This window comes from Homo sapiens, chromosome 1 (assembly GCF_000001405.40).
Source record: "Homo sapiens chromosome 1, GRCh38.p14 Primary Assembly".
NCBI lineage: Eukaryota > Metazoa > Chordata > Mammalia > Primates > Hominidae > Homo > Homo sapiens.
In genome coordinates this window covers 16238413-16255245 of record NC_000001.11, presented here as the reverse complement: position 1 = coordinate 16255245, position 16833 = coordinate 16238413, and the positions used below count along the sequence as shown (strand labels likewise).

The following is a 16833-nucleotide window of genomic DNA, read 5'->3' as shown; positions in this document are numbered from 1 at the left end:
ACCAATAAATTGAAAAATTTGCTCTATAAAATCATAGTTATATAGAATCTCTTTGACATATGGTTCTATTCAGTAGGATCAAATTCTGATGGAACCTCCACCTTGCCTGCTGTGCTGTGCCTGCAGAAGGCCAACTTTCGAGAACAGAATGCTTTTACTTATTCTACTTTATTACCCAGCTCTTGCCCTTTTGGGCTTTAGAGGAGAAGAGGGGGAGATTGACAGGACAAGTGGAAATGGTGGGCCCTCCAAATGTGATAGGTTGGTTGAGCCACATGTAAAGGGCATGAAAAGAAAGAAAGAAGGAAAGAAAAGAAAAAAACAAATGGGATGGGTTGTGGAATGGGTAGGAACAGGAAAACTGTGTCAGGCATGACATTTCTGTGAGGTCATTGTCCCTACCTCCTGTCCTGTCCACTTCTGGCCATACTGGACAGCTCAAGCCATAGTCAGGAGCCAGAGCATTCCATCTGTATCACTGTCTGATTCAGCGGTAGCAGCAGTTGTGGTCATTCCCCCTGTGCTCTGAAGTGGAAGTTGATGAGCTGTCAGCAGCAAGACCATCCCACACCTGTCCTCCCTTAGGGCATTTCCATCTTCATATTTTAAAACAGTTATGGAGAGAGATTATAGGAGCTACTCTCCCAATGAGAGAGTTTAGGATTTCAGATATTGGAACTATTATTCCTGTATTTTTGTGGGTGAATCAATGACCTTAAGTGACCATGAAAGAGAGACTGCCATCCAGGAGTCTGTCCTCGTCATGTTGGTCCCTTGAGGGTTAGAGATGCCAGTCTGTCCTTGATAAAACTGCAGCTTTCATTAGTCATTGTGCAATTACTTTTTGTAGCCAGAATCGATAAAGCTTTTAACTCCTGGACAATGATGAAGCTGCCTTTTGAATCGTTTTTTCTCTTCTTTGTGGTTTTTGCTTTTGAAAACTGTAGCTTAACCAGTGTCTATTTCCTGCTGTCACCAATTAACTATTTTTTAATCATCTGCTTTTACTTCAGTTAATAGATGGTTAAAAAAATAATCTCATTAGGCACTAGTGTCTGGCCGCAGACGTGGCTCAGATGAGGCCTCGTGGAAAGAGCAGAGGGAGGGTCTCAGGATGACTTCTAGGGAAAGTAGGGGAAGAAAGATACAGCCTAAGTGCTAAGTAGGAGCATAACACTTTGCTGCGCATCTTTATAAAGGTCCCTTCATTTTATATCAGCTCCTCAGACAGTAGTAACAGTATTTTCATTTTAGAGATAAAGTCAGAGTTAGAGAAAATTAAGTGACTTGTTCAGGCTACAGAGCTGGGATTCAGCAACATGGTCTCTTTCTGGTTCAGAAGCCCCTGAACTCTGAGTAGGGCATCTCTAAAACCTGCTCCAGCCCACACAGTCTGTGAAAGTGAAAATGGTGCAAGTTTGCCAGATGGGCCACAGGCATGTGGAACTCCCCAGCCACCATTATGGTCCCTGGGAGCTCCTAACTACCTTTATCCTTCTGTCCTTAATTCACAGGAGCAATGATGTCTGGGTCCTTGACCTTGAGCAGTGGGCGTGGTCCAAGCCGAACATCTCTGGCCCCAGTCCTCATCCTCGAGGTGGCCAATCTCAGGTGCTCAGGAATTAAAATAACTATTCAGCAAACACTGTAGCGTCTTTCAGTTAGGACGGGAGAGGGAGGAGGGAGTCAGGTAAGATGCCAATATGCACTAAGCCAAAGAAAATGTATCATTCTTTTTTACTGGTATTTATTTTTCAACTTCTAATGGGTCATATTATTTATAGTGGTTTTATATTATGCTCCTCCCCAAAGCATTTACTTTGCTGTGTCATTTCTCAAGAGAATCCTGCATTTTATGTGGTTGACATTCATGTTAATATTTGATCAACAAAGAATGTATCCTTTCAGGTGAATTATCAGTAATTTATTCACAGGGATCAGAATTGATATGTTTTTAGGAGAATGGAGAGGTTATGGTAACTAGAATATTCCCATTTGGGAGCTAGGTAGGCTATTCTCATATACCAGTGAAGCATAGAAAGTCAGAAACCTGTGTCTTTGTAGGTTTATTTTCAATGTCTTCCCCTCCTCAGATTGTCATAGATGATGCAACTATCTTAATCCTCGGAGGGTGTGGCGGTCCCAATGCTGTGAGTATTGCTTCTGTGGCATTCCCATGTGCATGCTACTAAGTGTTCAAAACCTGTTTCCCCTGTCTTCTTTTCTAGGAGTATACAAGACTATTTCCATGGCATTTTAATTTAAGGAATGCTTTTTGGGTATAGCCTTTGTATTTTCTGGCCTTTGTTTCTGCTTTTTTTTAGGGTTGTGGGGGGATCCTTTTAATCATAGATATTTGTCTCTTGAATATTCATATCTATATTCTTCCCATTCCTATTTCCTTTTTAGGCTATAAAGTTTACTGCTATCATATTTTCAAAGGGGAGAGGGCAGTGGAACAAAAAAGCAGGTTGATAACTGTCAGAGTTCACACAGTATTTAAGAAAGCAGATTCAGAAAGTTGTGGATATGTATTATTTATCCTCTCCTTCAATCCCCAATACATACACATAAAATTATGGGCAAGTGTCAAAACCACTCAGTTGATTCATGGGTCACAAGCACAATTCCATGTGCTAAGCCAGTGGTAATATATGAATGAATGAAAGCGTAAGTGGATGCATGCACAACTGAATAATTAACTGAGGATTTTGCTATCCTTCTGAAGAGTCCACATCCTTTCAAGACCAGACAGGAGAGCTTTGAGACTGCAACTCTGTGTGTGTGTGTTTTGGAACGCATATCACACCTGAGTCTTGTTATTGGTTTTTTCTCTTACAGCTATTCAAGGATGCTTGGTTGTTGCACATGCATTCTGGTCCTTGGGCCTGGCAGCCACTCAAGGTAGAAAATGAAGAGCATGGGGCCCCAGAACTGTGGTGCCATCCAGCTTGCCGGGTAAGCAGGGAGCTGACAGGCTAGCAGGAGGACAGGTCCTAAATTGTGGAAAACCACATTACTTTGTCAGGTTACAAAGAAATTTGTACAAAAATAGAAAACACCTTGGTGTCACAAAAGAGGTGAACATTAGCCATAGCTCCTTTGGCATTTCTCACTAAATGGGAAAACTTACAGGGGCCCTACTCATTCAGTAAGTCCCAACTTTAAGCATCTGTTTGTCTGTGAAACTTTCCCTTCTCCTTCTAACAAAAATTGATTGTTCCCTTCTCCCCACCCCTTCTGTATACATATCTCTAATGATAGCATATGTCACACAAAGCAGCGATTGTTCCCATGTCTGACTTCTAGCCTAGAGGGCAGACTACATCATTTTCATCTTCATATCTCAGGTACCTACAAAATGTCTGGCACATGACAGATGCTCATGATAAAATGTTTGACAGTTGAATGAACAATCAGAATCATAGAAGAGTGTGAGCACTGGTCCTTTGTCTTCCAGGTGGGACAGTGTGTGGTGGTCTTCAGCCAGGCTCCTAGTGGGAGAGCCCCACTCAGCCCCAGTTTGAACTCTCGCCCATCACCTATCAGTGCCACTCCTCCAGCTCTCGTTCCTGAAACCCGAGAGTACCGCTCTCAGTCTCCAGTAAGAAGCATGGATGAAGCTCCTTGTGTTAACGGCCGCTGGGGAACACTGAGACCCAGGGCTCAAAGGCAGACTCCTTCAGGTTCCCGGGAAGGGAGCCTTTCCCCAGCCAGAGGAGACGGCTCTCCTATCCTCAATGGTGGGAGTTTGTCTCCAGGAACGGCAGCTGTGGGTGGCTCTTCTTTGGACAGTCCTGTACAGGCCATATCTCCAAGTACTCCATCTGCTCCTGAAGGATACGACCTGAAAATAGGACTTTCTTTGGCCCCCCGACGAGGATCACTACCAGATCAGAAAGATCTGAGATTAGGATCCATAGATCTGAATTGGGATCTGAAACCCGCTTCCAGTAGTAATCCCATGGATGGCATGGACAATAGGACAGTTGGGGGAAGTATGAGACACCCTCCTGAACAGACAAATGGTGTGCATACCCCACCTCACGTGGCCAGTGCCCTTGCAGGGGCCGTCTCCCCAGGTGCCCTGCGTCGGAGTCTGGAAGCCATCAAAGCGATGTCCTCCAAAGGCCCCTCGGCCTCTGCAGCACTAAGTCCTCCTCTTGGGTCTTCTCCAGGCTCTCCTGGGAGCCAGAGTTTGAGCAGTGGAGAAACAGTGCCCATCCCTCGCCCAGGGCCTGCCCAAGGAGATGGACATTCCTTACCTCCCATTGCTCGCCGCCTGGGCCACCACCCTCCACAGTCCCTAAATGTTGGCAAACCCCTATACCAGAGTATGAACTGCAAGCCCATGCAGATGTACGTGCTGGACATTAAAGACACCAAGGAGAAGGGGCGGGTCAAATGGAAAGTATTTAATAGCAGTTCTGTGGTTGGACCTCCTGAAACCAGCCTGCATACCGTGGTACAAGGCAGGGGTGAACTCATCATATTTGGAGGACTCATGGACAAGAAACAGAATGTGAAGTACTATCCAAAAACAAACGCCTTGTACTTTGTACGAGCAAAGAGATAATGTGTTCTAAACCCCTTTCCTTTTCTGTGGCTTTTAATTTGGAATTTTCCAGTGTGTAAGCATTTGGACTGAGAATTGGGAAAACAAAATTACTCCCAGAAGCCAAAACTCTTTAATTCCCAACCGAAGTCACTCCAGGCTGGGATCAAATCTCCATTAAGAAAAAAAATTATATATAAATATATATATATATATTATATAGCCAACTCTGTTGACAAAAAAAGGGAGAGATTTCCATCCTGGTTCAGATAAAGTTGTTGCTGTGTTTTAACAGGGGCTGGGCTGCCTTTTTCTACCTTGCTGGTAACTAGACCAAGAAGTTAGAGAATAGACTAACATCAGTAACTTCCCAAAAGAAACTGAAGAGCCCCCTGTAAATCTTTATGTGGCCTTCTTGGAGTTAAAAAATGAAAGGGCATATGTAAGTTGCAAAGGTGGAGGGTTTTAGACTCTCATGCTTCAGGTGCTGTCGGGGTAAAAGTAACTGTTTTTCCCCTTCTCTTAAAACCACAGAGGACCTGTGACAGCTCTGCAGAAATGCCAGTGCCTGGCCCCCTCTTGCCTTTTATGGCTGAGGAAAGTTACCCAACAAAGGATTTTATTCCACATTTGTGTGCCGGGTCATTGTGAAATAATGTTTATGCAGCCAACATCTGACCGCCTAGTAGTGTCCATTGGTCTTTGGAGTGCTTCTTGTGTGTCTCAGAAAACATTTTGTGTCTGATTGTGGAAATTTCTGACAATCAATCATATTTGGTGGCAAGTTGCCAAAAAACATATTTATTCTCCTCTTTCTTCCCTTAGAACATGGTACTTGGAAACTGCCTTTTCCATTCACTTACAGGCTGCTTTTTTCTTCTACCTTTTTTCTTTTCTTTTTTTTTTTTCATATGTGGTGAAGTCCTAAAACCTGTCTGACTTTCTGTTTCTTTTACAAAGCTCAGGTGCCTACAGAAATCAGAAGCTGCTTAGAAATACTTGTGGAACCCTTTCCCTGGTGTCACTAGGGGGCCAGTAGGGAATTCTAAGATGCCAATATTGTGAGAAATCTTTGAAGCAAGCATCAAAAGATACTGTTTTTTCCCTATGGGCTTCTTTTTACTTCCAAAGCACATTGAGCACACTCATCCCATATTTGTAGAATGTGGAAATTGATTCTGGAAGGGAATTCCAATAACAGTTCTTTTTAGAAATGTTTTTTTCCTTGTGGTGACATATATTCCTCTTCCTGGCTATTGGCAGGTGATGGAGTTGAGAATCATGTACTTGACTTCTTGACGCATGGCTGACCTCAGAAACAGCTCCATCCTTTGCACTTGTCTTCTTCATGTGTCACCCAAATAGGGCTTGGGTTTTTACTTTCACTTCATTTCTGAGATTAAGGTGTAACCAAGTAGAGCATTTCTTTGCTTGATACAGAAAGTTACTAGTCTCAACCATGGCCTGGGCATAGGAGATGTCAAAATAAGTTTATTTCAAATGGCACCATTTAAATAGGGATTTTTGGTGATTTCTCATCAGTGGAAAGAGGATTTTTGTTTTGCCTTTGTTTTGTTTTGAAATTTAAATCCTAATTTCAAAACATCACCTTGCCACCCTGACACTCCTCTTTTTATTATTAGCGTTTCTCAGGCACAAAGCCTGCTGCAGCTGGCCCTGGGTCCTGGCTTTCAGCCAGCATCTGGCAGCCTAAGTGTACTGATAAGTGTGTTTTCTCCTGTTACATCATGCTGAATCCTTTCCCTTAGCCATTAGCTTTTATGATGTGGTCTTCGTAGGAAAGCCACCCTGGTGCCAAGCCTAGCTTGTGGGGAGGGGTATGTGTTCCAGAAACTGCTCTTTGTGTTCCCTTCAATGAGGAAACAACATGTGTCTACTTATGTGGCATCCAACTGCTTGGAGCTCCACACTTCCCTTTCGCGACTCAGGCTCTGGTGCTGTTGCCAATCCTTGCTTGGCAAAGACTGTTCGATCATGTGGGGTCCTTATTTACAAGGGAAAGCTGGGCCAGAAGGCTAGCAATTCAGGTGTTACCGCTATTGCTGTACCTTGTGTTAGGACATTGTGTTTGTGCATGGACTGTGCCTCCAAACTCAGTAGTTCCTATCTAAATATAAAGTATATTAGAAACCTGAAAGTACAGAATCTCAACCTTACAGTCTTTCCCTTAGTCCTGTGGCCTTCCTAAGCCAGCTGTTAACGTGTTGATTCCTTCCACTTCCCCCAAGTAGGCAGGCAACAGATATGTTGATTGTCTTAGAAAGTAATCTGGTTCCTCTGAACTCCATTGAATTCCAGTTTGACGCATACTGCCTGGAACCAGACTGTTTGCTTACAGCTTTTTAAGAAAAATCTGCCTTGTCTGCCCCCATTATGGTTGGTCTTGGTAGCTCCTGGGCACTGTGGGCGTGTACCATGGGAAAGTGATTCAACACAGTGAAGGTGATTGTCTCCTCAGGCCTCCTGAAGCCACCTGTGCGGTGGGACTTCACGTGTCTCGGCCAAGGCGAGCATTTCCACAATGCCGTGGATGCTGCAGTCAGGCCAGATTGAACCATGACCCCATTTTTCACATGATACCAATTTTGTCTTAAAATTCACTGAGAAAAATGAGACTAAATTTTTTTTAACCCTCAGGAGCACCTGAAGCAAATATTTATCCGTATTTATTGAAAATTCATTTTGTTTCTACTTGAAGCTTTAACCCCTTCCATTCCTGCAAGTGTGCCTTTTGAGAGCTCCCATGGCCTAGTGACTTCACTGGTCACCTTGTCCATCTTACTTAAGAATTTTAGTCTCTCCCTACCCTCTTGGACAGAGCTTCCTGTTCTCTTATTTCACAGGTTATACAGCAGAGCGGGTTTTGTGTTTTCATTCCTATTTCCACCCTTCATTTGGTTGGTGGACTCCACAACCTCACCCTACCCTACACTTTGGGAGCACAAATTTGGTGTTGAAACAAGCTTAAATTTCATTTTAGGGCATACTGGGCTTACTCTCCTCCCAGCTGTCTGTGGATTGATTTGATTTTAATGTTCGAGTTTTACAGCAACAGCTGAAAACCATGAACTATTCTAGGAACTGTGTTGGAACTCTTTAAAATAAAGAAAAGAGGAGGAGGAGGAGGAAGAAAGAAAACCAACTTAAGAAGCCTTGACTTTGGAGGACAGAAAGCCACCAGCCAATGGAGAACAAAGAGATGTTTCCCTTTCCTTTCTTTCACCTTGTCATTCTGGGTTTCCTTCTGCTTCACTCTTTCCTTCCCCCTTAAAAGTGGTATTCCTGGTTGGTCTGTCTGTCTGTCCTTGTCCTTGTGGTGATCCTGGCATGGTGATATGCTCCACTTTGCATTATCCATGGTCTCTTACCAGCGCACAAGTCAGTGGGGAGGATCTAACCACGCCTGGTGGTGAGGAAGCTGAATTTCCAGGCCTGCGTCCCATGTAGCCTCTCCATGAACTGCAGAAGGCATGTTCTGCATGGTTACCAGTAAGTGGCTCCCTCTCACCGTGTTCATTGTCAAATGAGAGCAAACTTTAGGTGTTGGCTCCATTGTACACTCTACTTGCTCTGCTCCCCTCCCTCCAACCAGGGTTCATGTCAGTGCACACCCCATGTGCCCTGGCGAAGCTGGTGCTGTGAGTGATGTTTCCCATACAACTCAGGGATGCCAGGTGGCTTACCCTGAGATAGTCATTTTGGGCACATAACAGTGTAGGAATGAAACATGGATTTCATTGATATTTAAATCTGTCAATTTCATTTTTTGTTAATGTTTTCCCCTGATGACTTTTTAGCAATTTAACAAATAAAATGGACAATTGTCTTAACTGTTTTATTAGCAAAAAAAGAAAAAGAAAAGAGGTCTGGCCGGGCGCAGTGGCTCACGCTTGTAATCCCAGCACTTTGGGAGGCCGAGGCAGGCGGATCACAAGGTCAGGAGTTTGATACCAGCCTGGCCAACATAGTGAAACCCTGTCTCTACTAAAAATACAAAAATTAGCCGGGCATGGTGGCAGGCACCTGTAATCCCAACTACTTGGGAGGCTGAGGCAGGAGAATTGCTCCAACCCAGGAGGCAGAGGTTGCAGTGAGCCAAGTTTGTGTCACTGCACTCCAGCCTGGGCAACAGAGTTAGACTGTCTCAAAAAAAAAAAAAAGAGGTCAATCACAGTGGCTCATGTCTGTAATCCCACCACTTTGGGAGGCTGAGGCAGGAGGATCACTTAGACCAGGAGTTTGAGACCAGCCTGGGCAATATAGTGAGACCCCATCTCTAAAAAAAAAAAAATTTACCCAAGCATGGTGGTGTATGCTTGTGGTCCCAACTACTCAGGAGGCTGAATGGGAAGATCACACTTGAGCTAGGGAGGTCAAGACTGCAGTGAGCCATGATTGTGCCACTGCATGCCAGCCTGGGCGACAAAGTAAGACCCTGTTACAAAAAAAAAAAAAATTGTCTTGATGGGAAACAATTGAGGTTGGAGATTGAAGGCACAGTAGTTGGAAAGAGATACCTTCTCTAGGAGGTTGTGTTTTCATGGAGAGGTGGAGAGTTGCCACTCCTTGGGGACAATGCCATTTAATAATAAACCAGCTCCCTCCATCACGCTTGAAGGGCTTGGTGTTTCAGAGCCTCAGTACCAGCCTGCAATGGACATCCAAGAGTGGTCATGAGCTTGGAGCAGAGGCCCAGGGGCCAGGACGACATTTGCATCTTCCCTGGCCCCCTAAGCAAAGATGAAGACACAGGGCCCCAGGGGCATGAAGAGGCACAGCAGATGATGGTTTGGAACGCAGTCCCGAAGCTCCGAAGGCCTATGGCTTAATCCTGCTTTTCCCTACTTACTACTTAACCTTGGATACAAGCTTCCTCATCTGTAAATGTAGTTGCTTCTACCTTATAGGAGCCTGTGGGTTAATTGAAGTTGTATGTGAAAAGCGCCAGCACAACGCCCAGCACATAGTAAGTTGGCAGCTACTGCCTTCCACTGCAGGGCCAGCACAGCACTCCCCAGCCAGGGTTCTTGCTTTTCTGGATACTAAAGGGTCAGTGGGCTGGGCATGGTGGCTCACGCCCGTAATCCCAATACTTTGGGAGCCCAAGGCAGGTGGATCCCTTGAGGTCAGGAGTTCAAGACCAGCCTGACCAACATGGCAAAACCCCTTCTCTACTACAGATACAAAAATTAGCCAGGCATGGTGGTGCACGCCTGTAATCCTAGCTACTCAGGAGGCTGAGGCAGGAGAATCACTTGAACCCAGGTGGAGGCTGCATTGAGCCAAGATTGCACCACTGCACTCCAGCCTGGGCAACAAAGCGAGACTCCATCTCCCAACAAATAAATAAAGGGCCAGAGGCCTATGCACATTCGGGTGTAAATTGAAAATCTGCCTGGGGAAGGGGAGACAGTGCAGGAATCAGCACCTCAGCCCAAGGTTTTGCCTTCATTACTCCTCCCGTGAGGCCTGAGAAAGGTTCCTAGAAGTGGTAGGCTTTGAGCACCCCCACGTCCAGGCAGGAGAGGAAGCATCCACCAAAATTTTGCCCGTGAAAATCCTGCAGGCTGGCCTCTGCGTGGTGCTGCCGCACATGACTGGGTCTTAGTGCTCTGTGCCTTTTCACCTCCCCCAGGCCAAGGAGAGACTCCCAGCTAAGTTCCACCTTCTGGTCTCAGTGGCTTTACTACTTCTCTTCCCACAAACACTGCCAGCATGTCAGTGGATGCTGTGTGAGGTGATGATTTGCCCACGGCTGGAAGTGTTCAAACAGGGTCTGACCACCTGCATGGGAGGAAATAACAGAGATGCATCAGATCAAGATTGGAACCAAGGAAACGCTTGATGCCATTTCAATTTTTTGAGACGTAGTTCTGTGGACTCAGAAGGGACTTAGAGGCAGTAGGACAGGGCAGACCTAGGTTCAGGAGCTGACTGTCACTTTGAGCTGGAGCAAGTCATCCTGCCTCACTGAGCCTCAATTTTATCAGTAAAATGGCAATGATGGCAGCCAGCCTCACAGGTTAGCAACTTAGCTGGAACCAGCCAAGAATCGTTTAATCCATTGGATGGGTGTGATTCCCCAAAAGGCCACCTGAGGGCACCCTGTGAAAGGCTTCAAGTGTGCTTGGGCGATCTGTCGGAGGCAGTCTTGAGAAAGAAAGCAGATGGGCAGGAGTAAGAAAATGCTTGCCTGTTTCTCCCCTCCCTCTGTCAGTTAAGCCTGGGGGGCACCCGTCCCTGGCCCCTGCCTTGTTTCAAGTACCATCCTCCAGCTGGCCTACCTGCCTTTCCTTCCCCAGCCCTCAGCTGTGGGAAAATTACCATCTTTCTCATGGGGCTGGGCTCTGGGTCCAGAGCCTGTCGGAATGCACAAAGCCAAGCCCATGTCTTAAGTAAATGCCAAAAAGTCCTAGCAGAGTGTGTTCTGCACCCACCAGGGAGCCTGTCTGCCCACCTACTGCAAGGAAGAGAAGGAGGGCTCCTTTCCAGCAGAAGCCTGGGGAGAGGGAGGATGCTCCTGCCCGAGGACATGGGCTGTGGCCCGTTGACAAGGCCTAGAACACCTGGAACTGACTGGGAGACTATTCACTCTCAGCAAGCATTCCCTGAGCATCTGTGACCCCCGAGGCACTGGGACACACACAAGACACAAAAGAGGCCCACCCATGAAGGAGCTTACAGCCTAATCACAAACCAGGGAGGTGTCACATGGGCTAAACAAAAATGACAAATCCTGAGATTCTAAGGTCAAAAGACAATCCAGGTATCATACTAAAAAGATACCAAAGAGGATGGAGTCAGTAGAACCATCTGCAACCAGTGCAGCCACCCAGGGCTGGGACAGTTGTTCGGGAAGCCAGAAGCCAAGAAGTTAGCCTTCTCTTTGCTTTGGTGTCTTAGTTCCCTTGTGCTGCTATATACCATACCACAGACTGAGTGATTTATAAGCAACAGAAATGTATTTCCCACATTTCTGGAGGCTTAGAAGTCCAAGCTCAAGGCACCATCAAGCTTGGTGTCTGGTGAGGGCCCAGTCTCCACTTCCAAGACATTGCCTTGTTGCTGCTCCATCGTGAAGGCTGTGTCTTCACACCGTGGATGGGATGAACTGGCCCCTCACGCCTTTCCATAACATCACTAATCCCATCGTGAGGGCTCTGCCCTCATGACTTAGTCATTCCCTGAAGGCCCCACCTGTTAATACTGTCACAGTGGTGATTAAACTTCAACATGTGAATCTGGCAGGACGTTCAGATCATGGCACTTGGCCTCGTCCTGCTAACCTGTGGCAGGGGGGCAGATGAGGATAGAACCTATCTGGGGCATCCCAGATGGGTGGGGTCTAGGCCTCGCTTCTGGCAGTCAGTAATGCAGGGTCTTGATAAGCCTATAAGCCGCAGCAGCCAGTGGTCAGGGCTGAGGACAATGGAGGGTGACCCATGTGGACTTGATGGCCAGAGGTCATCCCCTCAGATGTAATGGGAAAGGAGCTCCCGAGTGGAATCCGTAGTGGGAAGACAACACTTAGGACCGCATGGCTGGGGCCACGGCAGAGGCACAGAGCAGAGTGCTCTCTGCAGCAGAAGGCCCACAAGAGATGGCGTCCAAGGAGTAGCATCGCTCCCCAGCCATGCTTCCCTGGGATTTGGGCAAGCCTCCCTGCACACCAAACATGAGCCTCAGGGCGGGCTGGAGGAGGGGGTTTCCGGTTCTTCTGCCTCTCCTGGGTCTGACCTCGTCGTTGTCATTGCCCAGGTGGCATCCAAGGCTCTGCTGTCTGTCCACAGCATCCGGACCTCTCATCTGTCTACACCCATTGCTTCAGGCTTGGTCCCTCCGCCGTCAGTAATGTCCAGCTTCACTCAGGCCGCTCACCTGCGCTTTACATTCCAACATCTGCTGTGAGTGTGTCCTCTCTGGGCAGCCCCCCACCCTCCCTCACTCCCCAGGGGCTCCTCCTCTGACCCTGTGCGCTTCCTCCATGCTTCCCCCACAGTTAGGGGCACCACCATCCATCCAGTCACCTGGGAATGATCCCAGGGTCAGGTGATCTGAGGATGGAGAATTGACCACTGAGCTTGGTGGCGAGGCTGGTGCCCTTGACCTGACTTGATTAACTGGCTGTGGCTCCAGCTTGGAGAATCCCTAAAGCCAGTGAGCCTGGTGGAAGGACTGCTAGGAGGCAGAGCAAGCATTCCAGGTGGGAGTGGAGCACTCCTGGTGCCAGGCCATGCTGAGGGAGGGGTGGGTGTTATTCTAGGAGCCAAGAGGATTTTAAGCCTGGTGTCCTAGCTGACCTCCCGCCCCACACCTACCCAGGATCCTCAGGCAGGGCTCTCCATGCCTCATTCTCACCCCAGCTCGGCCTGTGTGTCTGCCCACCTGGGCCTCCCATCCACTCTGTCAAGTTGGTGACTGTGTCCCTGCCTTGTGGAGTCCTCTCAAGGTCTTGTGGGGACCTTGTCCAAGAGGTTTTTAATAAATATTTGTGGGGAGACCAAACCAAGAAGAAATGAGTGGATTAATCACAGGGCTCTAGGCCGGGCACAGTGGCTCATGCCTGTAATCCCAGCACTTTGGGAGGCCGAGGCGGGCAGATCACGAGGTCAGGAGATTGAGACCGTCCTGGCCAACATGGTGAAACCTTGTCTCTACTAAAAATACAAAAATTAGCTAGGCGTGGTGGCATGCGCCTGTAGTCCCAGCTACTTGGGAGGCTGAGGCAGGAGACCTGCTTGAACCTGGGAGGTGGAAGTTGCGGTGAGCCAAGATCATGCCACTGCACTCCAGCCTGGCGACAGAGCAAGGCTCTGTCTCAAAAAAAAAAAAAAAAAAAATCAGAGGGCTCTAGACTAGAAGAGTCCTTAGGGAGATGTTCTACATGTTTTGCTTGAGGCCCTGAAAGGAGAAGCAGCTGGCTTAGGGGGACACATAGTTTAGTGGTCAGAGGGGCACAGGAGAGCAGAACTCATAGACCAACACGGTCCACAAGCGTCCTTCTGAAACGCAGTTCTAACCATGTCACTTTCAGGTCCCAACAGTCAGCTGGCCTCCTTTGCCCAGCAGCAGTGTTTACATGAGGTCTGTGGACCCTGTTATGGACTGAATTATGCCCTGCTCCACCCAAATCCATACATTGAAGCCCTAGCCCCCAATGTGACCATATTTGGAAATAGGTCCTTTAAAGAGGTAATTAAGGCACGCTTTTCATCTGTCCCGCTGAGTGTTTGCCTCTTGATCAGGAACTCCTGCTTCTCCCTGCCTCTAAATGGACCCCAACTGCTCCTGCTCGCCTGATGGTTCCTGCGCCTGTGCCGGCTCCTGCAAATGAAAAGAGTGCACATGCACCTCCTGCAAGAAGAGCTGCTGCTCCTGCTGCCCTGTGGGCTGTGCCAAGTGTGCCCAGGGCTGCATCTGCAAAGGGACGTCGGACAACTGCAGCTGCTGTGCCTGATGCCAGGACAGCCCTGCTCTCAGATGTAAATAGAGCAACCTTATAAACCTGGATTTTTTTGGTACAACCCTGACCCATTTGCTACATCTTTTTTTCTATGAAATATGTGAATGGCAATAAATTCATCTAGACTAAAAAAAAAAAAAAAAAAAAAGGTAATGAAGGGTGAGCATGGTGACTGATGACTGTAATCCCAGCACTTTCAGAGGCCAAGGCAGGCAGATCACTTGAGGCCAGGAGTTTGAGACAAGCCTGGGCAACAAGGCAAAACCGTACCTCTAAAAAAATACAAAAGAAAAAGTCCGGGCATGGTGGCTAATGCCTGTAATCCCAGCACTTTGGGAGGCCAAGGCGGGCGGATCACCCGAGGTCAGGAGTTCAAGACCAGCCTGGCCAACATGGTAGAACCCCGTCTCTACTAAAAATACAAAAATTAGCTGGGTGTGGTGGCAGGCGCCTGTAATCCCAGCTACTTGGGAGGCTGAGGCAGGAGAATCACTTGAACCTGGGAGATGGAGGTTGCAGTGAGCAAAGATCGCGCCATTGCACTCCAGCCTGGGGCACAAGAGCGAGACTTTGTCTCAAACAAACAAACAAAAATACAAAAAAAAAAAAAATTAGCCAGGCGTGCTGATATGCACCTGTAGTCCTAGCTCCCCTCGGGGCTGAGGCAGGAGGATTGCTTGAGCCTGAGGAGGTCGTGGCTGCAGTGAGCTGAGATCACACCACTGCCCTCTAGCCTGGGTGACAGAGTGAGGCCCTGTCTCAAAAAATAAAAGAAAAAGGTAATCAAGGTTAAATGAGACCATAAGCATGGAGCCCTAATCCAGTAGGACTAATGTCCTATTTGTAACAGAGGAAGAGACACCAGACATGTATAAGCACAGAGAAGAGGCCATCTGTAAGCCAGGAAGAGAGGCCCCACCCAGAAACCAACTCTGCTGGCACCTTGATCTTGGACTTCCAGCCTCTAGAACTATGAGAAAATAAATTTCTGTTGTTTAGAGTACCCAGACTGTGGTATTTTTGTTACAGCAGCCTGGGCTGACTCATATAGACCCCAACTTCAGAACTGCCTAGTGCTTTTGTCAAATCTGCAGGCTCACAGACCTACCCAGCCCCTGACACAGAATGTCGGGGTTGGATGTGTGAACCCCAAATATCTGAGACAGGTCACAGTCAATTTAGAAAGTTTATTTTGCCAAGGTTAAGGATGTGCCCGTGACAGCCTCAGGAAATCCTGAGACATATACCCAAGGTGGTCAGGGGTACAGTTTGCATTTAAGTTTTAGGGAGACATGAGACCTCAATCAATATGTGTAAGATGTACATTGGTTTGGTCTGGTAAGACAGGACAGCTTGAAGCAGGGGCTTCCAGGTTAGAAATACATAAGAGACAAGGCCAGGTGCAGTGGCTCATGCCTATAATCCCAGCACTTTGGAAGGCTGAGGTGGGCGGATCATGAGGTCAGGAGATCCAGACCATCCTGGCCAACATGGTGAAACCCCGTCTCTACTAAAATACAACAACAACAAAAATTAGCCGGACATGGTGGGGCATGCCTATAGTCCCAGCTACCTGGGAGGCTGAGGCAGGGGAATCACTTGAACCTCAGAGGCAGAGGTTGCAGTGAGCCGAGATTGTGCCACTGCACTCCAGCCTGGGCGACAGAGTGAGACTCTGTCTCAAAAAAAAAAAAAGTAGATAGGAGACAAAAGATTGCATTCTTTTGAGTCCTTGATCAGCCTTCCACTGAATACATAATTTTATTTATTCAGCTCTGTCACCCAGGCTGGAGTGCAGTGATATGATTCTGCTCACTGCAACCTCCACCTCCCAGGTTCAAGCGATTCTTCTGCCTCAACCTCCAGAGTAGCTGGGATTACAGGCGCCTGCCATCACAGCCAGATAATTTTTGTATTTTTAGTAGAGACAGGGTTCACCATGTTGGCCAGGCTGGTCTTGAACTCCTGACCTCGGGTGATTTGCCCGCCTCAGCCTCCCAAAGTGCTGGGATTACAGGCGTGAGCCACCGCGCCCAGCCATTTTTTTGTATATTTTTAGGGATAAGGTTTTGCCATGTTACCCAGGCTGGTCTCAAACTCCTGACCTCAAGTGGTCCACCAGCTTCAGCCTCCCAAAGTGCTGGGATTACAGGCGTGAGCCACCGCACATGGCCCCAAGAGGACTTTACATCTTCTCTGGGTTGCAGATTAACAGGCACGTTCATTCTGCCAAGTTGCTTCATTTTCTCACACGCTCACTGAGCCCTCCACGAGCCAAAGATGGGTGGATGTGAAGTCTGGAAATCCAGAAATAATTCAGATCAGAGCCCTGCCACTGAGTGACTCCTGGCCCATGGAGAGAGCTCTGGACAGCTGTGAATCTCCCTGACTGGGCAGATGTGACAGCTGCAGGAATGGGAACCATGTGACCTGGGAGTATGGGCAAAGGATTCCACCTGCAGAATCCTGTAGGAATGGTTATTCATCTGGTTTTTCTGCCTAGCCACAGCGTGAGCAAGTTGAGAGAAAGCACCTTGTCTTACACATCCTCATCCCCTCTCTTAGACATAATGGGCCTTAAAAATCTGTGAGTTCGTAGTCCTCTGGCTGCTTTCTGCTTCCCTAGGAACAGCCCTCCTAGTGGCTAGGGGCAAAGTTTTAAAAACACAAAACCCAAACTGGCAGAACAGATAAGTACTTTAGAGTCAGGTAAGTGTGGGTTCTTTTTTTTTTTTTTTTTTTTTTTTTGACAGGGCCTAGCTCTGTCACTCAGGCTGAAGTGCAGTGGCATGAT

At 47.5% G+C, this 16833-nt stretch overlaps 1 protein-coding gene and 1 pseudogene across 5 annotated transcripts in view; both read left to right on the top strand.

The window, feature by feature from the left end:
* Positions 1–8406, top strand: part of FBXO42 (F-box protein 42) — a 105641-nt gene extending 97235 nt beyond the window's left edge. For 4 of the 5 annotated variants that reach the window (NM_018994.3, XM_047422747.1, XM_047422750.1 and 1 more), the window contains 4 exons: positions 1515–1611; positions 2094–2150; positions 2842–2958; positions 3461–8406. In NM_018994.3, the coding sequence (NP_061867.1) occupies positions 1515–1611; positions 2094–2150; positions 2842–2958; positions 3461–4576 (1387 nt within the window). In that variant the 3' untranslated portion in view covers positions 4577–8406. Of the gene's footprint in view, positions 1–1514; positions 1612–2064; positions 2151–2841; positions 2959–3460 lie in introns of those variants that run through there. The other variant, XM_047422752.1, reaches the window with a different exon arrangement.
* Positions 13806–14166, top strand: MT1XP1 (metallothionein 1X pseudogene 1; annotated as a pseudogene).